This window comes from Homo sapiens, chromosome 3, assembly GCF_000001405.40.
Source record: "Homo sapiens chromosome 3, GRCh38.p14 Primary Assembly".
In the NCBI taxonomy this organism is placed as follows: domain Eukaryota; kingdom Metazoa; phylum Chordata; class Mammalia; order Primates; family Hominidae; genus Homo; species Homo sapiens.
The window spans coordinates 183948162-183973244 of record NC_000003.12 but is presented as its reverse complement, the minus strand read 5'-3'; the positions used below and the strand labels follow the sequence as shown (position 1 = coordinate 183973244).

Genomic DNA, 25083 nt, shown 5'->3' with positions numbered 1-25083 from the left:
GTCTCTACTAAAAATACAAAAAATTAGCCAGGCGTGGTGGCGGGCACCTGTAGTCCCAGCTACTCGGGAAGCTGAGGCAGGAAAATGGCGTGAACTCAGGAGGCGGAGCTTGCAATGAGCCGAGATTGCACCACTGCACTCCAGCCTGGGCGACACAGCGAGACTCCATCTCACCAAAAAAAAAAAAAAAAAAAAGTGGATTCAAAGTCTTACGGGAAAATCCTGGGCTGTGATTTATTGTGATCAGTGTTTTACATCTTAATTTCAGAAACATTTCCCTCTTCAAGAGTTCATTCTTCAGCTGGGTGCGGTGGCTCACGCCTGTAATCCCAGCACTTTGGGAGGCTGAGGCAGGCAGATCACTTGAGCCCAGGAGCTCAAGACCAGCCTGGCCAACATAGTGAAACCCCATCTCTACAAAAAAATACAAAAATTAGCCGGGCATGGTGGCACGTGCCTGTAATTTCAGCTACTTGGGAGGCTGAGGCATCAGAATCTCTTGAACCTGGGAGGTGGAGGTTGCAGTGAGTCGAGATCGTGCCACTGCACTCCTATCTGGGCAACAGAGCGAGACTCCATCTCAAAAAAAAAATTATTTTTCTTTTAACATAACTCAGGGGTCTCTGGGAATGAGTGGGAGGAAAGTGTCTTGTTCTCTTCCCAAGGGTTGTTTCTCAGGGAGATACCCTTCACTTCCATGCAAGCCTGTTCCTTTGGTTGTTTGAACTCTCAAGTTCCAAGGCAAGGCTTTGAAGACATGAGAGTTTCTTGGCAAGAAGATGTTCTCTGCGGTAGATGAAACTTTAGATACTCTTTTCTGACGGTAGCAATGTAAGCCTGTGACAGTCTCTACTCCTAGATACATGCGGCGCTGTGAGTGTGGGAAGTGGGCAGGCTTTGGCATTCTGCAGGAGGGGTCTGGAAGGAAAACACGTAGTGAGCATCTGTACTGGAGGTCAGCATGCCCTTTGCTTTTCCTACCTGCTTTTTACTACTCCTTAGAACAAGGGGCTACGTGCCAGTCAGTTAAATGTCATTAGGTCCGCTTTAGGCTGGCTGAGGGGGAAAGGCAGTTTAGCATGTAATTTGTCATGTGGAATATTGGGTCATTGATAAGGCCCCTGGACCTCTTGAGGTTGCCCCACACTCCCGTGACCCCTTGATGGGCCTGAGATTGGGCTGCACTAATGAGCTACCTTTTGCCCTTCAGCTTCCTTCCACTGTATAGCCTGATGTGTTTTGCTACGTGAGTGTACGCCCTAGGCTTGTCTCCCTGGTCTTGATCCAGTGTCTCATCTTTGCACCTCTCTCACAACTCCTATCAGAGTTTGTTTCTAATGGAAGAGGTTCACATGATAAAGAACAAACCAGCCAGTCCTCACATCAAGATAGAGATGAAAAATGCCACCTTGGCATGGGACTCCTCCCACTCCAGTATCCAGAACTCGCCCAAGCTGACCCCCAAAATGAAAAAAGACAAGAGGGCTTCCAGGGGCAAGAAAGAGAAGGTGAGGCAGCTGCAGCGCACTGAGCATCAGGCGGTGCTGGCAGAGCAGAAAGGCCACCTCCTCCTGGACAGTGACGAGCGGCCCAGTCCCGAAGAGGAAGAAGGCAAGCACATCCACCTGGGCCACCTGCGCTTACAGAGGACACTGCACAGCATCGATCTGGAGATCCAAGAGGTAAGTGGTCCGCCCCCTGCCTCCCTGCCCGCACCCCACCACCCCATGCTGATCTGCCACCAATAGGCGGCTGCTGTTCCTTTTCACAAAGTGCTTTGTGGCTAGGAGTGATTTTGAACTAAAGAGCAAATTAGACCAGCTCTAACTCTAAAAAAAAACCAACTAAGCATTTAGCAACAGAAATGAATAACAACTAATCTTATGAGGTGATCATTTTATAAGCAAGGAAATGAAACATTCAAGAGGATTTTCCAGGATTTTTCCCCAAAGAGGATTCTATTTTAGTTGTATGTGAGCTGTGACAATTATTTCTGATTGTTACAAGTCTGTGAGCGCCCTTGTGCACTAGGCTGTGCATCATACCTGGCACATGATAGGTATTCTCAGTGCTACTGTGACAACATTTGTGTTGTAATGATTTATTCTTAATATAAGTTAAGGATCGTTAACGGTAGATGATGTCACAGCCCAGGTAGCACAAGATTAGTCTCAGAGGGCCTCCTATAGGGAATGGTGGAACAGAGATGCCAGGTTCAAGGCTTTTAAAATACAGACTATGTATTTCGGAACCAGCACCATATTCACAGGTCCGTGTCATTAGAGGGCCCCGGATGTGTATATATTCATTCATTCAACAGCCATTTCATGAGTATCAAACTCCATGCCAGATGCTGTGATAGGGCTGGGCACAGAGCCACAAAAACCCAAACAGACAAAAATCCCGTCCTTCTTGGAGTTTACATTCTAGCAGGCACAGACAGGTCGTGAGCAAATACAATATATTGCATATCAGATGGTGATAAGGGCTATGACAGAAGGGGACAGAGGCTGGGCATGGTGGCTCATGCCTGTAATCCCAGCACTTTGGGAGGCCAAGGTGGGCAGATCACTTGAGCCCAGGAGTTCAAGACCAGCCTGGCCAATATGTTGAACCCCTGTCTCTACAACAACTAGGAAAATTAGCCAGCTGTACGCCTATAGTTCCAGCTACTTGGGAGGCTGAGGCAGGAGAATTGCTTGAGCCCAGGAGGTGTAGGTTACAGTGAGCTGAGATCGCGCTACTGCACTCCAGCCTGGGTGGCACAGTGTGAGACTCAGAGTGAGTCTCAAAAAAAAAAAAAAAGGTGGGTGAGGAGAGAGTGTGCTGGGGCAGGGAGCAGGTGTGGTTACAACTTGAATAGGCTGCCTGAGGGAATGCCTTATTTAAAAAGTAGTATTTGGGCAAAGATCAAAGGAGATGAGGGAGAGAGCTACCTGGGTATGGGATGGGTGGGGAAGAACATTCCGGGCCAAAGGAACAGAAACACAGAGGCCGCAAGTGGTGAGTGTGTCTGTTATTGGAGTGGAATGAGCATGGGAGAGAGTAGTGGATGCCAAGGGCAGAGGTGGTGCCTGCCAGAGCCTCTGGTGAGACTTCAGCTTTACTCCAAGTGGGAAGAGGAGCCTTTGGAGGATTCACAGCAGAATGACATGATTGGACTTATGTATGAAGAGGATCATTCTGGTTGCTGCAGGGGAGACAAGGAAGCAAGGAGAACAGTCAAGGCTCTGTTACCACAGTAACCGGGAGAAAGATGAGGATGTCTTAGATCAAGGTTGCTGGTGGGAGGTAGTAAGAAATGTTTGTCCATGTAACTGGAAGTAGGGAGGAGGTTTGAATGCAGTGTATATGAAAATCAGCAACTGACCAGAGGCATGGTAAGCCAATCCAGAACTAGACTGAGAAGAGGACAAAAAGCTTCCAGCCCTTAAAAGCTATGAGCAAGAAGGGGACACAGTCTTTAGTGACACCACTTGAAACTATGAGTGTCATTGAAGGGCATGCAAGTCAGGTTTTTACTTCAGTTAACTTTTTTTTTTTTTTTTTTTTTGAGACAGAGTCTGGCTCTGTTGCCCAGGCTAGAGTGCAGTAGCACGATCTCGGCTCACTGCAACCTCTGCCTCCCGGGTTCAAGTGATTCTCCTGCCTCAGCCTCCCGAGTAGCTGGGATTATAGGCACGTGCCACTGTGCCTGGCTAATTTTTGTATTTTTAGTAGAGACGGGGTTTCACCATGTTGGCCAGGCTGGTCTCGAACTCCTCACCTCAGGTGGTCTGCCTGCCTGGCCTTTCAAAGTGTGGGGATTATAGGCGTGAGCTGCTGCATCTGGCCTTACTTCAGTTAACGCCTAACAGGCTTTTTATTTAGTAACTATTAGCTTGATTATTGAGGCAGCTCTAATACATTGCTATCAGCTCTATTAGAAAATGATTCCACACGTGCAGCTAAAATGTATTCTTTTGCTTTGTATGTTGACCCTCATTTTGCCCTTCAGAGCCCACAGACAATGGGAGACCTTTAGCCATTTGAAGAGAGATGCCTTAATTCTCCCTGGGCCTTTGCTTTAGGGAAGAGAAGGGGAGGTAATGTTTGCCAAGTGTCTTCTGTGCACCAGGCATTTTTCTCATTTTTGATGTCTCATTTAGTCATCATTTAATCATAAGAATAGCATTTTTCTCATGTAAATCTAACTGGCCTGAGCAGAGGTTGAACCTGTGACTTGACCTCCTTGTTGCCACCAGGCAGTAAACCATTCAGTACTCGTGGACCATGTCAAAAACTATTTGTTCAACTATCAGACACTGTACTTAGTTTTATGAGGATACTGCCTTTCCTCAAGGTGCTCAGAGTCCAAAGAAGGAGACAGACACAGTATTAGGTTAAGTCACGGGGCCTGGATCACACAGTTAGCAAGTGCTAGTGAAGTTGGGATTTAGATAAAGACCCATCTGCCTCCAGAATCCATGCTCCGTCCACACTACCACTCTCCCTTCCTTCCTGGGGACACTTGAACTGGCACGGGGTTGTAAACAAGTGACCCTTTTGAAGTCATCTGTCTGTCCCTTGAAAACTTTCAACACCACTTTGAGAACTCTTTATCTTGCCTAAGGATACTCAGTTAATCATAGACTTGGTGTTCTACTTTTTTGTGGGATTGATGGTATAAATATTCCTCAGATTTTTGGAAATGTTTTGCATGCAACAGTGTCCATGGTTTTTATTGAAAATTAATTATGTATACACCCTGGAGAAAAATCATAATAAAATGATTTTTAAGAGTCCTGCCCTCTCTTCTGGCAAACAACAAAAACAAGTAAATAAAGAATATGGGTGGCCAGGCGTGGTGGCTCATGCCTGTAATCCCAGCACTTTGGGAGGCCGAGGTGGGTGGATCACTTGAGGCCAGGAGTTTGAGACGAGCGTGACCAACATGGCGAAACCCTGTCTCTACTAAAAATATAAAAATTAGCTGGGTGTAGTGGTGCATGCCTGTAACCCCAACAGGAGAATTGCTTGAACCCGGAAGCGGAAGCTGCAGTGAGCCAAGATCGCACCACTGTACTCCAGCCTGGTTGACAGAGCAAGACTCCATCTCAAAATAATAATAATAATAATAAAATGATTTTTAAAAGCCCTACCCTGTCTTCTAAAAAATGACAAAAACAAGTAAATGAAGAACATGGGTTAGCAGCAGAATAGGAAAGAGGCTGGGCCTAAGAATGACGGTGGGATACTGGAATGTGTGCGGCATATTTACTTTCCCCAAAGGGCTTCCATTCCTGTTATCTCAGGTGTCTCCACAGAAACCCATGAGATAGGCAGCTAATGAGTGAGAAAACAGGTAAGTGGCCTGCTGAGTCATCAGGGTGACAGTTCTGTATGGGTAGACTACAGTTAATGTGTTTTTCCTCAAGTCCTTAGCGATGAGTGGTTAGTAGTCTCTAAATGACCCTCCTCTCTGTGTGCCTTGTCCAGGGTAAACTGGTTGGAATCTGTGGCAGTGTGGGAAGTGGAAAAACCTCTCTCATTTCAGCCATTTTAGGCCAGGTAAGATTTTTGTTATTGTCCTTTTCTGCTGCTTTCTCTGGTTTGCAAGAGTCTCAGGAAAAACGAACAAATTTCCTGGAGAGTCAGGAAAGGTGGAAACAAATGAACCCTCAGCCTGCATTGTATGCCCCCAATCCCCCGCAGTTCCCCCCAGTTCTCCCCCTTCACAGCCTTCTGCCTGGAAGGAGGCCTGGTGGGCGCCTGATGGATGACTGACTGTTGTCCCAGCTGGAACCATTTGGTCTCATGCCTTCTTTCATTCAGCATGTATCTATTGAGTGCCACAGGTATGCCCGTGTATTGAAAATGTCAGAGATAAGAGATGAGCAGACACCCTACACTGCAGCGCTGCCAACAGAGTTAACCTGTAAAGAAGCAGGGCGGCCAGCACTCCCAGCCTCTCTGTCAGACAGGACTGTCAGGGTTTGATCTAGAAGCAAAGCCCCTCTGTTTTCTGCCTAATCCCTGAAAGAGTCATGCCCTTGGGGAGTTCATGGTCCAGTGGGGAGCAAGGCCTTGAGAACACAACAAGCACATCTCCAGGCAGGGAGTGAACAGCGTGCAGGGCCCAGCACACGGTGGCCAGTGCTGAGAGTGAGGGACAGGATGGGGCCGGAGTCATCCCACTGAGACACACTATCATTGCTGTGTTTTAGAATCAAACAATCCAGAAAAAAAAAAAAAACAAGGTGCCCACATGCTTTTACATTAGAATTAAATTAACTTGACTTAGATGGTTGAGATGAGCATAAACTTATGATTATCTCTACACCCTGATGGATAAGGTCCACTGAATTGAAATGAAACAGAGGGGGAGCAGGGGTGCTTTTGTAGCCCCCAGATTATGGAATGCTTTCTTGTCTTGTTTGGCATCAGCTGTCACAGTTGGTGAGTTGTGGTCCTCCTTGAGGGTGGTGGTGCCTGGGGCTGTCTGAGTCAGATCATGGCAGGCATCACCTCCACCTTCTGCTTTATGACACTCTCCAGTGGCTGGGCCCAGCCATTGGTCTTGTAAAAAGCACCAGACTTCCTAGGTGATTTATGATGACCAACCAGATTTGGAGGGCCAGTGAGGAGAGACAGAGATGGGGGGAGGGGGAGAAGGAAAGAAAAGGTCAATTCGTAAGTGCTGCTCTGCCATCTAGCAATGTGCTCCTTTTTCCAGGGTTGACTAGGCAGTGGTTAGGTTGAAAACCAAGTCAGGCTTTGCTTCTGGACAAATCCTGGCAACCCTGTCTCTGGCAGGGAAACGGGTTGGGCTGGTCAGCCCTGCTTTAACTGTAGTTTACATCTGTTGATAGCGCTGCAATGTGCGGTGTTTGTGCAGCAGCCAGAAGTGCCGGCTTTCCACAGTAGACCCCCTGGGGACTTCTGAACCCTTTGAAGTGCACATCAGAATGCTACCAGTTTGTGGTGTACGTAGGTACACCTGTGTGTGTACACGCTGTGTGAGGGTGTTTGAGAAGACCAGCTTATATGAACAAGTACTGCACAGGCTGGTTAGTGAAACTTTGCTTCAAAGCTGTAGCATCCCTAAACCAAGACAAATGTCTACTATCAGTCCCAAACAAAAGAAATCATGGAAGGGGGTAAAATGGATAAGTCAATTCATATCAAACCATTGCAACTGAACACAAACTTCAAAGCACATGGTTCATCACTGCTTGTGGGCAGGCAAGGTCCATCATTGGTAAATGGACACTGTGTATATATTATAAATACTAGGTGATGTCTAACCTGGACTTTTTTTTTCCCTTGGTCCTCATTTCATAGAAGCAACTGGTCTAGCCAGCATCCTAGGTAATTGCCTTGGATGAGTTGGCCTGCCCCCATGTTGAGGCAGGGATTAGCTGGAAACCCCTACAGCATCCTCTCCAGGAGAATTCTGCAAGAACCTCTTGCTTGTGCTTCTCCTAATTTAAACAGTTTGCACACAGCAAATGGGCTGCAGAGGGAAGTGTTTGCCTTCAAGTTATGGGTTATGCTGAGCTCCCATCACACATAAGCAAGGAGAACTTTGATTTTCTTTGCTGCTTAGCTCTCTTTGGAATTAAAGGTGGAATCTGGATTTGGGTCCAAAAAGCATCCCGGGAAATTACCAGAGCTAGATTCCATTGTGGAAGGTGGGGGTTCCGTTGGCATAGGGTGATGGTTTTGAGTTATGATGCCATTGGATGGTGTCTCTCTCCCTAGATGACGCTTCTAGAGGGCAGCATTGCAATCAGTGGAACCTTCGCTTATGTGGCCCAGCAGGCCTGGATCCTCAATGCTACTCTGAGAGACAACATCCTGTTTGGGAAGGAATATGATGAAGAAAGGCAAGGAATGTTTGGCTTCTGTCATGCTTTCCATCTTGGCCGCGTGAGATGCAAGGCAGCCCTAGTCAGCAGGCTCTGCTCCCGCCGTGTCCCTGACGCTGTCTCTTTGTGTCCTCCAGATACAACTCTGTGCTGAACAGCTGCTGCCTGAGGCCTGACCTGGCCATTCTTCCCAGCAGCGACCTGACGGAGGTACAGGCCTTCCGCCCCTGACCAGGCATTTAGCAGAGTGGCAGAGCTGGGCCAGAGCTGCTCCTGGGAGTGCAACTGAAATGCTTGGGAGAAGAGCCTCACAGGGAGTTAGGCTGTCATTAGGCCTTTGTGTTAGGAAAGCATGTGTCCATTAGGGCAGGGATGTTAACACTGCTTGTTTTAAGGTTGTAAGTATTTTCTGTGTCTTGGGGATTGTAAACAAAATCCCATTGTTGACTCAGAGTTGATGTTTTTTATTCTATCCAGATATTTTTAAAACTACAAGTAAGCGTGTGCATGTTGAGCATCTTCCTTGAACTTGATTTTGCCAACCTCCTTAACTCAGATAGTCTGTAGAGAGCCCTTTTCTATTAGAAAGAGCCCTTAGAACAAATCCACATTTCTTTGGGTCTCTGCCCTGCAGCAGTTTCCAGAGGCTTGTCTTTGGAACTAATTTGTGCTCTTCAGTGTTAAAACTTGTCTCCCATGAATTGCCCTGAAGGTCTCTGGGATTGGCACCTTTATTTAGCTGATTTCAGTTAAATCCCTCAAACCAGATTTGGTGAATGGTTTAATTACTTTAGAGGTCCTTAAATCCATGTCCCCAGATCAGCAGCATCAGCATCAGCATCATCTGGGAACTTGTTAGAAACACAAATTCTTAGGCTGTTCTCCAGACCTACTGAATCAGAAACTCTAGGGGTGGGGCGCAAAGGTCTGTTTTAACAAACCCTGCAGGTAATTCTGATGCAACTTCCAGTTTGAAAACCTCTGAATTAATTGAATATTTGACAACTGATTTATTCATTTAATCATTTAGTAACATTTATTAGGTGTTTATTATGTGCCAGTGACATGTGCAGACACTGTTTGGCACTAAGAATATAAAGGAATAAGACAATAATCTGCACGTAAAGAAGTGTACAGTTAAGAGGATGAGATACCCAAACAAATAGGCACAAAATAATCTGATGAAAAGAGCCCCATCTCTTTGGGGTACTAGCGGGAAAGAGGTTGGGGGAGATTTCAGAGGAGATGATGCCAGAACTGAGCAGACAAAGTAGAGGCAAGCACATGACATTGTCATGTTCATAGTATACACATAATTTCAAATGGCTTAGGTCCCAGGATGTGGAAGGGGGATTGTGCACTGGAGGCTGAGAACTGCTGGGGAACTGGGTGACAAAGGGTCTGGTTTGTATGCCATGTTTGGATACTCAAGGTTTATCCTTTGAGGCTCTTGAAGAATTTTAAGCAAGGGTGGGAGATGGTCAGCTTTGTGTTCTGGAAAGATCTTCCTGCCATGTGGAGAATGGATTGGAGGGGGAGCATCCGGGTGGACTGGCAAGACCAGATGTAGGATTGATCGGTACCCAGATGGCAGTGGTAGAGGAAGAGGCATCTGGGCCAACTCCCCCACTTCGTTGAAGGATCAGCATGGCAGTTCATCTGCGGGGAATCAGCATGGCAGTTCATCTGCGGGGAATTGACAGAAGGAGCTGGTCTGGGTGGGCAAGAAGAGAAGTGACTGGGTGACCCCTCCACGCTGTTCTGGACTTGCGCTGGAGGCTTCACCACACTTCTGGGCTCTTGTAGATTGGAGAGCGAGGAGCCAACCTGAGCGGTGGGCAGCGCCAGAGGATCAGCCTTGCCCGGGCCTTGTATAGTGACAGGAGCATCTACATCCTGGACGACCCCCTCAGTGCCTTAGATGCCCATGTGGGCAACCACATCTTCAATAGTGCTATCCGGAAACATCTCAAGTCCAAGACAGTTCTGTTTGTTACCCACCAGTTACAGGTATGGTTCTTTCTTCCCTCGGCTGCCTGCCTGAGTTTGGGAAATCAGAAACAGGGAGGTAGGTTTGCTCCAGGTATCCTTGTGTTATAACTAGAAATTCCTGGAATCAAGGTTTCATTTTCTTAGCAAATTAGCCCCCTGTACCAATAAAGCTCACTGTACCAGTGTAACAGATGGCCATCTAAATCAGAGATCCTTGGAGCATATCAGCTTCTGCATATAGATCAGCAAGTAAAAGGGCTGAGAGGAGCAGGCCAAAAATGGAGTTTGGGTATAAGATAGTTTGGAAAGCATTGTGTTAACATCTCTATGCAAGTGGGAACTGTTTTGGGAAAACAAGCTTTTCTCCCTCTGCCATTCCATCATAAGCAGGCACTTTGGAGAGCAGCTCAAGGATGTTGCCATCTGGCTCACATATGTTGTCACGTTTAGGGGGCAAACCCTCCATTCTGCCAAAGAAAGTCATAATTATGTATATTTGTGAGTGCAGTGAAAGGGTGTAAATTTAATGCAGGGCTCATGTGGCTCCATCAGCAGATTCATGTGAAAAACCGGAGGGACTCGGCCAGGCACAGTGGCTCACGCCTGTAATCCCTGCACTTTGGGAGGCTGAGGCTGGCGGATCACCTGAGGTCAGGAGTTCGAGACCAACTGGTGAAACCCCATCTCTACTAAAAATACAAAAATTATCCAGGCATGGTGGCACGTGCCTGCAATCCCAGCTACTCAGGAGGCCGAGGCAGGAGAATCCCTTGAACCCAGGAGGTGGAGGTTAAAGTGAGCTGCGATTGCATCATTGCACTCCGGCCTGGGCAACAAGAGCAAGACTCTGTCACAAAAAAAAAAAAAAAAGAAAAAAACTGGAGGAACTGCTCCTTATACTATGTCACGAGGCACAATACACTGAAGTGGGGTTCTCAGTGTTGGCACCACTGATGTTTTGGACCAGATAGTCCATTGTTGTGTGGGGCTGCTTTGTGCACCCCTGGCCTCTAGCCACTAGATACCAGTAGAGACAGTCGCTGGCTTACGGTTCAACTTACAGTTTTTTGACTTTATGATGGTTTCCACACAACCATTCTGTTTTTCACTTTCAGCATAGTATTGAAAAAAATTGCATGAGATATTAAACATTTTATTATAAAATAGGCTTTGTGTTAGATGATTTTGCCCAACTGTAGGCTAATGTAAGGGTTCTGAGCATGTTTAAGGTAGGCTAGGCTAAGCTCTGATATTTTCAATTTACGTTGGGTTTATCAGGATGTAAGCCCATTGTAAATTGAGGAGCATCTGTGTACCTCTCCCCCGAGTTGTGACAACCAAAAATGTCTCCAGCTGGGCGCGGTGGCTCAGGCCTGTAATCCCAGCACTTTGGGAGGCCGAGATGGGCGGATTACCTGTACGGCAAAACCCCGTCTCTACTAAAAATACAAAAAAATTAGCCAGACATGGTGCTGCATGCCTGTAGTCCCAGCTATTCGGGAGGCTGAGGCAGGAGAATCGCTTGAACCCAGGAGGCGGAGATTGCAGTGAACCGAGATTGCGCCACCACGCTCCAGCGTGAACGACAGAGCAAGACTCTGCCTCAAAAAAAAAAATGTCTCCAGATGCTGCCAAATGTCTTCTGGGAGCTTAACTCGTCTCCTGTAGAGAACTACTGAACTAATGTATGGGTTTTTGAATGTATTTGCACAAACAGCATATTGTGTTGTCTCTGCCTTTGCCTTCAGTACCTGGTTGACTGTGATGAAGTGATCTTCATGAAAGAGGGCTGTATTACGGAAAGAGGCACCCATGAGGAACTGATGAATTTAAATGGTGACTATGCTACCATTTTTAATAACCTGTTGCTGGGAGAGACACCGCCAGTTGAGGTAAGATCTGATGGTGTTTGCGTGTGTCCCCTTCTGTCTCTGCAAGGGAAACACAGCCGGAGTGAGTGATGGAGAGACCTCAGCTGAATCCAGTGTCTGTGTCTTATTGGCAGGGGCCCTGTTTTCTGGTGAACAGACTGCTGTGCCTTAGTTCACACACTGATTCTGCTCTAGGAGAGCAGGATTGTGGGGCTGGTGAGCTGAGGTCTTCTGTCACTGAGAACTTACTAATATGACAATGGCAGGGAGAAGGATATGGGCTCAGTGAGGGCAGAGAAGATGTGTGCTGCTGTTCATTCACAGCTTAGTTTCCTAAGCTCCATCCACCTGATTGAAGCATTATGAAGCTCTTTTTTAAATAAACAAGTGAATAAAGTGCCAAGGTAGGGAAATTAAATATTGCATACATTTGAAAGCACTCAGGTCAGGTGCTGCGGCTCTTGCTGGTAATCCCAGCATTTTTGGAGGCTGAGGTGGACAGATTGCTTGCGCCCAGGAATTCGACACCAGCTTGGGCAACATAGAGAGAAACCCCGTCTTTACAAAAAAATACAAAAATTAGCCAGGTGTGGTGGCAGGCGCCTGTAATCCCAGCTACTTGGGAGGGTGAGGCAGGAGAATCGCTTGAACCCAGGAGGCAGAGGTTGCAGTGAGCTAAGATTGCACCACTGCACTCCAACCTGGGTGACAGAGCGTGATTCCATCTCAAGAAAAAAAAAAGACATAAGAGAAACTTGGAAAGGAGAGCATTAAGTAGTTTCTGTTATCTCAGGTAGAACCCTGATGGCTGTTTATTGAGTCCCTGTGTGCCCTGTTATAGGCAGTTCTCAGGGGTAGGGCCTGTGCAGGTTGTAACCATGTGAGAGACATCATCTCTGTCCTTAAGGGACTCACAGTGTTCTAGGGAAGACCGATGCTTTTATGCTCTTACAAGCACTTACAAATGTGGCTTACAAGACCACATCACATGTATAGTACTAATGGAGTTCTAAGGGCGAATGGGAGGGTGAGCTTTCCAGGGAGTGTATGTTGCCTCATGAAGAATGGAAGACTTGAATCTATCTGAATGGGGACAACTGTGACTGCGATTGGGACAAGGGGAGGGGCATTCCAAGTGGAGGAACGAGTGTGGACCAAAGTAGAGAAATGGGAAATTGCAGTGTGGTGTAAGGAATGGTGTGAAGTCCAGTGTGGCTTGAGAGTAGGGGCTGTGGACACCAGTGAGATGGGAGAGGAGCTTGCAGGATTAGGGCAGGGCCAGAATATGGAGGTCCTACAGAACCAGGTGGAAAAGCTTATGTTTATCCTGTGGTAGCAGTGGGAAATGATCAGATCTATGGATTTGGTTTAGTGATGTGGGCTCAGAGAGGAGGAATGGAAATGACCCCATGCCTAATACTTTGTGCAACTTGGAATGGACAAGAACAGAATAAAGGTTACTGTGTTTGGAGTTTAGTGACTGGGGAGAGCAAATGTCAGTGGACTAAATTTTAAATCTTAAAAATTTAAGGAGATGAGGAAGTACAAGAAATGAGTATAGGTGACCCTTTTAAGAAGTTGGATGTATCTTTTTTCAGTAATAGCAGTTTAATTGATGATTCCCTAATATGTATCCTGTGGACATTCATCTGGATGGCTAACATGACTGGAGACTTTTTTTTTTAAATATTATTAGATCAATTCAAAAAAGGAAACCAGTGGTTCACAGAAGAAGTCACAAGACAAGGGTCCTAAAACAGGATCAGTAAAGAAGGAAAAAGCAGTAAAGCCAGAGGAAGGTAATGGCCTTTTTTGAAATTTTTAGATTTGTCATCAAAGTTTATCAGAAATAACTTGTGTAGTAAGTAATTCATGATGTTTGATAGCAGTGTGTGTACAATATAAATACTTGGTCTTACATTTCTGGAAAACAAAGTTCTTATATAATACTGGGAGACCACGAGGCACCTTCTGTTTGCTTAAACAGACCAGGGCAGTAAGAGTCACCTTCAGACCCATGTCTTCTCCTGTGCAGGGTGGGGTCAGGTTTAGGTAATTAGAACTGAGTCATCCTGAGTAAGGAAAAATCGAATGGTGGGTACAGGTACACCCTTCCATCCAGTGATTCGCCTCTGCTCATGAAAAGTCCCAACCAAATCAGAGGTGTTCTGGCTCTAAGAATATCTGTGTCCTCAGAAGCACCCATGTTAGAACAGTAGACTCGTCACTTTGTCTTGACAATATAGCACCAGGACTATGAGTAAGAGTGACAGAGAGGGGTTTTTCCTACTTGGCTTTTCCTGTCCAGAGCCCTTGATCCTGTTTCTTAAACCCTTTATGTTATCAACAGTAACAAATCTTGAGAGTTAAGGGAAGATATTTGCAATAATGTGGGCATTTTCACCTTTGAATTTTAAGTTGCATGTCAATTTAAATACACACAAACACTGTGTGTGTGTGTGTGTGTGTGTGTGTGTGTACTGTATAGATGTAGACATGTGTGTTCTTGTTTTAATCTCTTTGTTGCTTCACCTCCTTACCTCACCCTTTTGAATCCAGGGACTTTCTTGGGTTTGCCATTGCTTTGGAGACGGAGCCTGTTGCTACTTCCTTATCCTTAAAACTGCAGGAGGTCAGGCACAGGTGGCTTATACCTGTAGTCCCAGTACTTTGGGAGGCTGAGGTGGGAAGATTGCTCGGGCCCAGGAGTTCAGGACCAGCCTGGGCAACATGGCACGCCCCGCTTCTCTCCAAAAAATATAAAAATTAGCCAAACGTGGTGGCACATACCTGTAGTCCCAGCTACTTGGGAGGCCGAGGTGAGCCACTGCGCTCCAGCCTGGGGGACCGAGTGAGATCCTGACAAAAAAAAAAAGAGGAAAGAAACTGCAGGAGATATTTGGTATTGGGAGTTGATCATCCTGACTTACTGCCTCTTTTATTTCTTTTTTTAAAAGGTATGGGATTTTGAATTCAGGTATGAGATTTTGAATTCAAGTGTGGTTTATGATACCTTATTGACACACCCCAAAAAACAAACAGCACAGAAGGCTGAGACATTTGTTAGTTCTTACCACGGGCAGTAAAAAATCAGAATATCATTAGCAAACATATGTTCTTCTGTACATAGTCACTAACCTGGCTACTCACAACTCTTAAAGTGCTCAAGGCATGAGGGAGGCTTATTCTGAGATTTGTAAACATTATTTGTGTAAAGAGGGAAAAGCCGGGTACTATGCTTAGTACCTGGGTGAGAGGATCATTAGTAACCCAGACCTCAGCGTCATGCAATATACACATGGATCTGCATGTAACAGATGTAATATACACACGGATAAGCATGTAACAGATGTGATATACACACGAATCTGCATGTAACCAATGTGATATACACACGGATCTGCATGTAACCGATGTGATATACACACGGATAAGCATGTACCAGATGTGATATACACACAAATCTGCATGTAACCGATGTGATTTACACACGGATCTGCATGTAACCGATGTGATGTACACACGGATCTGCATGTAACCGATGTGATGTACACACGGATCCGCATGTAACCGATGTGATGTACACACGGATCCGCATGTAACCGATGTGATATACACACGGATCCGCATGTAACCGATGTGATATACACACGGATCCGCATGTAACAGATGTGATATACACACGGATCCGCATGTAACAGATGTGATATACACACGGATCTGCGTGTAACCGATGTGATATACACACGGATTTACGTGTAACCGATGTGATATACACACGGATCCGCATGTAACCGATGTGATGTACACACGGATCCGCATGTAACCGATGTGATATACACACGGATCTGCATGTAACCGGTGTGAGGTACACACGGATCCGCATGTAACCGATGTGATTTACACATGGATCTGCATGTAACCGATGTGATGTACACACGGATAAGCATGTAACCGATGTGATGTACACACGGATCCGCATGTAACTGATGTGATGTACACACAGATAAGCATGTAACCGATGTGATTTACACACGGATCCGCATGTAACTGATGTCATATACACACGGATCCGCATGTAACAGATGTGATATACACATGGATCTGCATGTAACCGATGTGATATACACACGGATAAGCATGTAACCGATGTGATATACACACGGACCCGCATGTAACCGATGTGATGTACACACGGACCCGCATGTAACCGATGTGATTTACACACGGATCCGCATGTAACTGATGTCATATACACACGGATCCGCATGTAACAGATGTGATATACACACGGATCTGCATGTAACCGATGTGATATACACACGGATAAGCATGTAACCGATGTGATATACACACGGACCCACATGTAACCGATGTGATGTACACACGGACCCGCATGTAACCGATGTGATGTACACACGGACCCGCATGTAACCGATGTGATGTACACACGGACCCGCATGTAACCGATGTGATGTACACACGGACCCGCATGTAACCGATGTGATGTACACACGGATCCGCATGTAACCGATGTGATGTACACACGGATCCGCATGTAACCGATGTGATGTACACACGGATCCGCATGTAACCGATGTGATTTACACACGGATCTGCATGTAACCTATATGATATACACACGGATCTGCATGTAACCTATATGATATACACACGGATCTGCATGTAACCGATGTGATTTACACACGGATCTGCATGTAACAGATGTGATATACACACGGATCCGCATGTAACCGATGTGATGTACACACGGATCCGCATGTAACCGATGTGATTTACACACGGATCTGCATGTAACCTATATGATATACACACGGATCTGCATGTAACCTATATGATATACACACGGATCTGCATGTAACCGATGTGATTTACACACGGATCTGCATGTAACAGATGTGATATACACACGGATCTGCATGTAACCGATGTGATATACACACTGATCTGCATGTAACCGATGTGATATACACACTGATCTGCATGTAACCGATGTGATATACACACGGATCCGCATGTAACAGATGTGATATACACACGGATCCGCATGTAACCGATGTGATTTACACACGGATCTGCATGTAACCGATATGATATACACACGGATCTGCATGTAACCTATGTGATTTACACACGGAGCTGCATGTAACCGATGTGATATACACACGGATCTGCATGTAACCGATGTGATTTACACACGGATCTGCATGTAACAGATGTGATATACACACGGATCTGCATGTAACCGATGTGATTTACACACGGATCTGCATGTAACCGATGTGATTTACACACGGATCTGCATGTAACCGATGTGATTTACACACGGATCTGCATGTAACCGATGTGATTTACACACGGATCTGCATGTAACCGATGTGATATACACACGGAGCTGCATGTAACAGATGTGATATACACACGGATCTGCATGTAACCGATGTGATATACACACGGATCTGCATGTAACTGATGTGATATACACATGGATGAACATGTAACCGATGTGATATACACATGGAGCTGCATGTAACCGATGTGATATACACACGGATCTGCCTGTAACCGATGTGATAAACAGACGGAGCTGCATATAACTGATGTGATATACACATGGATCTGCATATAACAGATGTAATATACACACGGATCTGCATGTAACCGATGTGATATACACACGGAGCTGCATGTAACTGATGTGATATACACATGGATCTGCATGTAACAGATGTAATATACACACAGATCTGCATGTAACTGATGTGATTTACACATGGATCTGCATGTAACTGATGTGATTTACACACGGATCTGCATGTAACCGATGTGATATATACACAGATCTGCATGTAACCGATGTGATATACACACGGATCTGCATGTAACAGATCTGCAGATGTACTCCCTGAATCTAAAATAAAAGTTCAAAAACAAAACAGGGAAAATCTTCCTGTATAGCTGTTTCTCTTGCAAATGAAAAATTAAATTCTGTGCCCTGCAACTAACTGAATAAACTCTCCTCTAGGCCAAGGGTACCCAATGGAACCTGAAAATCTATTCAGACCATGAAGGGAAGACAATGTTGGACGTGCCTTATTATACTCCCCTGCCTTTAGAGTTCAGGCACACAACTGACGAGCATTAACATTTATATAGAGATCCTAAGACTGACAGAACAGTCTCTTTGTAGCTGTAAGATACCTAATTCCAACCTCACTCTATTAAAATAATAGAGCATCACAGGACAGATAGCAGGGCCCTGGAAGAAATGCATATTTTGAAATGTCTCTGCAAAGCTGTCTGTTGAAGGGGAAGTTCTGCATTACGTAGAGAATCTCCTTCCTTTACTAGGTCTCTCCAGAGGGTCTGACACCTTTGATAGGAGACATTCACATCTGTTCTCTCTGACGTCTGCTACTGGGAGGCTTCATCTACATGACAAGAACCTTGGCGTCCACACCCTGTCCCCCACCACTCCCCCACCACTCAAGCTAATTTCAACTCTTCAGGCAGAGCTTAACCCTTTCAACCAATTGCCAATCAGAAAATCTTTGAATTCACCTTTGACCTTTAAGCTGCACCTCCCTGCCCCATGTTGCCCCACCTTTCCGGATCAAACCAGTGATTACCCCACTTATATTGATTGATGTCTCATGTCTCCCTAAAACATAAAACCAAGCTGTAATCCAACTGCCTTGGGCCTGTTCTCAGGACCTCCTGAGGCTGCGTCACTGGTCATGATTCTTAACCGTGGCAAAATTAACTCCTAAATTGATTGAGACCCGTCTCAAGGTACTTTCTGGTTTACATTCTGTATTCTCATATTAGTGTTAAGAATCTGAGTGCGCCAGGGAGATCCTCAGGAATATATTTGAACCTTTTCTCTCCTCCAGCAGCCAGCCAGTTACTATGTCCTACTGAATTTACCTCCCGAAACTCCATCCCACCATCACAACCCCAGTTCAGGCCTTTATCATCTCTTACCTACAGTGTTACAGCTGCCTCGTTTTGAACCTGTCTTCCACACGGTCAGCTGCGAGATCTAGTTAAAAACATGAGACCAGCTAGGTGCGGTGGCTCATGCCTGTAATCCCAGCACTTTGGGAGGCTGAGGCAGGCAGATCACCTGAGGTCAGGAGTTCGAGACCAGCCTGGCCAACATGGTGAAACCTCGTCTCTACTAAAAATACAAAAATTAGCCAGGCGTGGTGGCGGGCGCCTATAATCCCAGCTACTTGGGAGGCTAAGGCAGGAGAATTGCTTGAACCCGGGAAGGCGGAGGTTGCAGTGAGCTGAGATCACGCCACTGCACTCCAGCCTGGGCGACAGAGTGAGACTCTATCTCAAAAAAAAACACACACACAAAACATGAGACCAACCAACTTTCCTGCATGGAGTCTTTCAGTAACCTTCCATTTTCAAATATTTTCCCTGATAGGGCACATACAGAAAAGGCTATTTGTGTGGAACACAGGAGGCATGAAAGAGGCTGCTCGCTCCCAGAGGCAGCTGGTGTGGCAATATCAGCCATCCCAGGTCCTTCCTAGCCCAACAGAAGTCAGACACACCTGTCACCCTTTCTGTTGAGAAGTTCTTTGTGGGGCCAAAATTCAAAGCCTTTCTTCTGTGACCACAGCCTGCTTAGTCGGCCTCATCTCCTGCCATTCTTTAAGTGCACATCTGTTCCAGCTGTGCCGAATCACTGTGGTGGTGTGTTTTGCTACCCCGTGCCTGTGCTTGTGTTGTTTTCTCTGCCTGCTCTCTCCTTTCCCCACCCGGTCATCTGTGGCTTACCTTTTGAGAAGCAATACAGAAAGTCTTACCTGAAACATGCCTGCCAACCACCCCACACCTAAGCCAAATAGGTCAAGTATGCCTCCCAGGGGTTCCCATGCTGCCCTGCGTATAGCTCTATCATCACATTGAGCACATTTCACTGTAATTATGTGATTATTGATCTGCCTGTCCTACCAGTCTGTGGCAGGCTCCTCAGCCAGGTCCCTAGGGGTGGGGACCTGGTCTTCATCCTCTTTGCTGCTCCTGGGCTTCATCCTGGGTCTGGTTTGTGGTAGGTGCTCAGTAAATGTTAAATAGATGAATGAATGCTTCTGACAAAGAGGAAATCTAATCTAGACCCCTGTGAAGCTGCCGGTTGTCCGATTCTGTTGCTCTGCAGGTGACTTAGTTTTATGGAAATAGTTCTTCCCTTCTGAGTCCATGTTTCTTTTTTTCTTACCTAGGGCAGCTTGTGCAGCTGGAAGAGAAAGGGCAGGGTTCAGTGCCCTGGTCAGTATATGGTGTCTACATCCAGGCTGCTGGGGGCCCCTTGGCATTCCTGGTTATTATGGCCCTTTTCATGCTGAATGTAGGCAGCACCGCCTTCAGCACCTGGTGGTTGAGTTACTGGATCAAGCAAGGAAGCGGGGTAAGGTTACTCATAAATGGGAAAGTTCTGTGTCTAAGAATGTGGCCGTTTCTCCCTATTCCCTGGCTATTCTTAGGGAAACTGTTCTAGTTTTCACTTAAAAGAAGCTGTAAAGAGAGATTTTTCCAGGATGAAAAGATGAGTCCCTAATGTAGCCTCACCAGAAGGAAAAAAACGCTGACCAACCCACAGGGCAGTAGGGCGTGCAGTAGGACACCTGCAGGCTATCTGTTCTCATCCGTTGTGTATTAGTCCATTTTTGCACTGCTACAGAGAAATACCCAAGACGGGGTACTTGACAAAGGAAAGAGGGTTAATTGACTCACAGTTCCACATAACTGGGGAGGCCCCAGGAAACTTACAATCATGGTGGAAGGCAAAGGAGAAGGAGGCACCTTCTTCACAAGGTGGCAGAAGAGAGACAAGACAGCGTGTGCGGGAGGACATGTCAAACACTTTTAAACTGTCAGATCTCATGAGAACTCACTGTCACGACAAGAATAGCATGGGGGAATCCACCCCACAATCCGGTCACCTCCCACCGGGTCCCTTCCTCAACACCTGGGAATTACAATTCAAGATGAGCTTTGGGTGGGGACACAAAGCCAAACCATATGACATTAGAATAGAGAGAAAGAGGGCTAGGTGTGGTGGATCATGCCTGTAATCCCAGCACTTTGAGAGGCCAAGGCAGGTGGATCACTTGGGGCTAGGAGTTCAAGACCAGCATGGCCAACATGGCAAAACCCTGTCTGTACTAAAAATACAAAAATTAGCTGGGCATGGTGGTGCACACCTGTAATCCCACGTACTTGGGAGGCTGAGGCATGAGAATTTCTTGAACTCAGGAGGCAGAGGGTGCAGTGAGCCATGATTGCGCCACTGCACTCCAGCCTGGGTGACAGAGTGAGACACTGTCTCAAAAAAAAAAAAAAAAAAAAGAGGTGGACAAAGCCATGACCAGGTCCCAGGGTGGGTCATTATCCTGTACCCTGCCCTGCCCTTGAGCTGAGAATGGCGCTGAGCAGGGGCTCTTGGCAGTCGTTAGGAGTCTGGCCTCATAGAACTTTGGCTTCAAACAGAACACCACTGTGACTCGAGGGAACGAGACCTCGGTGAGTGACAGCATGAAGGACAATCCTCATATGCAGTACTATGCCAGCATCTACGCCCTCTCCATGGCAGTCATGCTGATCCTGAAAGCCATTCGAGGAGTTGTCTTTGTCAAGGTATGCATTGGTGGGTGGTCTCTGCCCTCCTCCCTGGTGACCTGTGGTCAGGCTTTGGTGTGGCGTCTCTCAGTTCATGCTGAGTAGGGGAGCTCCCTTAACCAGGATGGCCCTGGCTGAGATGACTCATATTCCGTTAGCCTCCACCTTTTCTCACTTGCCACCTGTCCCTCCTGACCCCTCACACCTCCCCGCTTTGGGAGTGGATGTGCTGCGGAGCGGTTCTCTGGACCAGTAGGAACAGAGCCGTCCCTGGGCCCTGACCACTCTGTGCTCTGCTCCTCAGGGCACGCTGCGAGCTTCCTCCCGGCTGCATGACGAGCTTTTCCGAAGGATCCTTCGAAGCCCTATGAAGTTTTTTGACACGACCCCCACAGGGAGGATTCTCAACAGGTTTTCCAAAGACATGGATGAAGGTATTTCTCACTGAGCCTTTTTTTAATACTCTGGAGCTCACTGTGCTTCCAGCCTTCTAGATGATTCTCCAAATGTGCAGATCTGTCTGTCTGTAGATCCTGAGAGCACAGTGACTGCTGGTGTTTTCACCAGGAACATTGCAACTGCATTTTCTGTCTTGTTTGACCTGAAAATAAATTCAATGAATTGAGTTAGCAGAAAGGCTTTGAACAGAGGCATCTGAGATTCTGAAACACACACAGATTTTAAAGCAATGCATTGGTTTCTGGATGCCTACAACCTGGCAGGTTTTCTGGCTGTTGTATGGGCTGTGCCTGCACCAGAACTGAAATACTGTACCCCCACAGTTCAGAGTAACAGTAAAGCCCCTGACATTGACAGGGGGCTTCCTGTGTAGCAAGCAGCATGCTCAGTGTTTTATGCATGTTACCTTAATCCCCGCAGCAGGCCTGTCAGGCGGGTGTTGTTTCACTCCTTGAATAATGAGAAAGCTGCTATCTGGAAAGGTCAAGGAACTGGCCCAAGATCTACAGCTATTGAGTGACAAAGCTGCAAATTGAACCCAGATCTTTTTGACCCCAAAGCTAATGTTTTTAATTGCTGCACTGTAGCTGCCTTCATGGAAGGGGTTTGTTTCAGGCATTGATAGGCCATTGTAAACCCATGGCCAGAGGTAACAAGAAATCAGAACTATCCCTGATACTCGAACTGATACATAACATGTTCCCATTTCTGCTAAACACACACGCATGTGCTCACACATGAATGGAAAAAAGAAAAAAAGTAAATAATAGCAACATGTCTGGGATTTGCATGAAAATACTTTAACCAGAAGAAAAAAGGCGGTGGGGTGGGGAGACAGCCAAAAAGAGATGAAAGTTGATAACTGTTGAAGGGTCTGTGCTCTTCCTTTAATTTTTATGTATGTTTAAAAATTTTGCAAGACAAAAAATGTCTTAAATGTTAACAGCAGTTCATTGGTATTGGTAAGAATATAGTTTTTGTTTTCTTCTTCACATATTTATTTTCCAAACATTTTAAAATAAGCATAAGTTACTTTGTAAAGGGGGAAAATGTTTAAAGCAGTGGGGCAGGAAGGGAACCAAGAAAAGGGAGTGGAGTAAGAGGATTTTCTTGAGACGAAAAAAAAAAATCAGAGCATCCAGGTTTCTAAATTTTTCTTTGATCAGACTGTTTAAAGACAACATCACAAACTTCAGATAGAGAGTTTGTGGAACCCCTTTTTGTTTTTTTCAATTTTCAGTTCCATTTTTCCAAACCATCTGACACTTGCTCCTTTATTTGTTTCCACAGTTGACGTGCGGCTGCCGTTCCAGGCCGAGATGTTCATCCAGAACGTTATCCTGGTGTTCTTCTGTGTGGGAATGATCGCAGGAGTCTTCCCGTGGTTCCTTGTGGCAGTGGGGCCCCTTGTCATCCTCTTTTCAGTCCTGCACATTGTCTCCAGGTAAATAGGAAGCGTTCATGTCTGCTGGGGCCACGGAGAAGCCTCAGTTGCTGGGTAGGTGCTGTGACACGGAGCTCATTCTCTCTCCAGGGTCCTGATTCGGGAGCTGAAGCGTCTGGACAATATCACGCAGTCACCTTTCCTCTCCCACATCACGTCCAGCATACAGGGCCTTGCCACCATCCACGCCTACAATAAAGGGCAGGAGTTTCTGCACAGGTTTGTCCTGATGGGGGCTAGAGGCCTCAAAGGGGAGTCAGCATCCCAGCGTTTGATACTTGTCCGGGAGGCTCTTCAAGGCCAGAGATGGGGATTATAAACCTCATTACCAAGGGTATTCATGATTTAATGGAATAATCTCTGATTAAAATCCAATTGCTTGGCGGGACTCCTTTCTGAGCAAGTGAGAAAACAGAAATACAGATTTGGGCCGCATGCGGCATCACGTGCCTATAGTCACAGCTACTCAGGAGGCTGAGGCTGGAGGATGGCTTGAGCCCAGGTGTTCAAGTCCAGCCTGGGCAATATAGTGGACCCCATCTCAAAACAAAATACAAGGAACAAACCCCACAGATTAGGAGTCTATTGGCCTTGGCCCTGAAAAGCTATATTTCATAGAGTTTTGCTTTTTCTTTTAAGTAGTAAAAGGTAGTCATGACATTTGAGTAGATTTTATTTAAGCATCGAGTATTGTTTATTTGTGAAACTTATGTGCATTGTCATTGTGGAGCTTTGTATTAATAAGAGATTGGAACTAAAATGTTCTTCAATATAGGACAGGTTGAATAAGCTATGGTATATCCATAGAGTACTATGTGGCCCTTAAAAAGAATGAGGGAGCTCTATAGGTACTGATAGGGAATGATCTCCAGCATATATTAGTGAAACAGCAGAGTACAGATGTGTGTATTAATATATTGTATGCTACCTTTGAGTATGTGTTTTTATGTATAACATTTAGAATATCAGGCTGGGTACAGTGGCTCCCGCCTGTAATGCCAGCACTTTGGGAGGCTGAGGTGGGCGGATCGCCTGAGGTCAGGAGTTCGAGACCAGCCTGGCCAACATGGTGGAACCTTGTCTCTACTAAAATTACAAAAAAATTAACCAGGCGTGGTGGCAGGCACCTGTAATCCAGCTACTCAGGAGGCTGAGGCAGGAGAATCACTTGAACCCAGGAGACAAAGGTTTCAGTGAGGCCAGACCATGCCATTGCACTCCAGCTTGGGCGACAAGAGCGAGACTCCATCTCAAAAAAAATAAAAATAAAAATTTAGAATATCTCTGAAAGGATTAAAAAAAAAACCTGTTAGTTGCCACTGGAAGGGAGAACTGGGTAGCTGGAAGATGGGAATGAGACAGACTTGACCTTTCATGGTAAACCTTTGGTAACTTTTAAATTTTCTATTCTGTGTATATGTTGCCTATTGCAAAAGTTGGGTAATTATTTTTAGAGAGAAAATTTAGAATAGAAAGTTTAGAAAAAATTATTTTCAAAATGTTAAATGACTCAGAAAAATAATTCCTAAACTTTAAGCAGAAAAGAAAGTGAAATGTACTAAATACGTACATGTGTATATACCTACACACAGTAAATGTCAGTGCATTGAAAAAAACTGCTGGGAGGAAATGCAGCGGAATATCAACTCTGGTTTTAACAGGGTGATGAGATTACTGGAATTTTACATTTTCCTATTTCTATTGCATTTTCTAAATTTTCTCTAAAGATTACATATTTTATTGGAAAGAGGAAAAGTGATTTTTCAAAGCAAAGCACATCTGCGCAGCAAAACTTCCTGCTCTGGAGTTC

The 25083-nt window shown here is 45.8% G+C and overlaps 1 protein-coding gene across 6 annotated transcripts in view; it reads left to right on the top strand.

Moving 5' to 3' along the window:
* Positions 1-25083, top strand: part of ABCC5 (ATP binding cassette subfamily C member 5) — a 97951-nt gene that overhangs the window by 44640 nt on the left and 28228 nt on the right. For 5 of the 6 annotated variants that reach the window (NM_005688.4, XM_005247059.6, XM_011512314.3 and 2 more), the window contains 12 exons: positions 1326-1682; positions 5479-5550; positions 7744-7868; positions 7988-8060; positions 9657-9860; positions 11591-11734; positions 13410-13512; positions 19975-20159; positions 21242-21388; positions 21675-21804; positions 23120-23273; positions 23364-23492. In NM_005688.4, the coding sequence (NP_005679.2) occupies positions 1326-1682; positions 5479-5550; positions 7744-7868; positions 7988-8060; positions 9657-9860; positions 11591-11734; positions 13410-13512; positions 19975-20159; positions 21242-21388; positions 21675-21804; positions 23120-23273; positions 23364-23492 (1823 nt within the window). Of the gene's footprint in view, positions 1-1210; positions 1683-5478; positions 5551-7743; positions 7869-7987; positions 8061-9656; positions 9861-11590; positions 11735-13409; positions 13513-19974; positions 20160-21241; positions 21389-21674; positions 21805-23119; positions 23274-23363; positions 23493-25083 lie in introns of all 6 variants that reach the window. The other variant, NM_001320032.2, reaches the window with a different exon arrangement.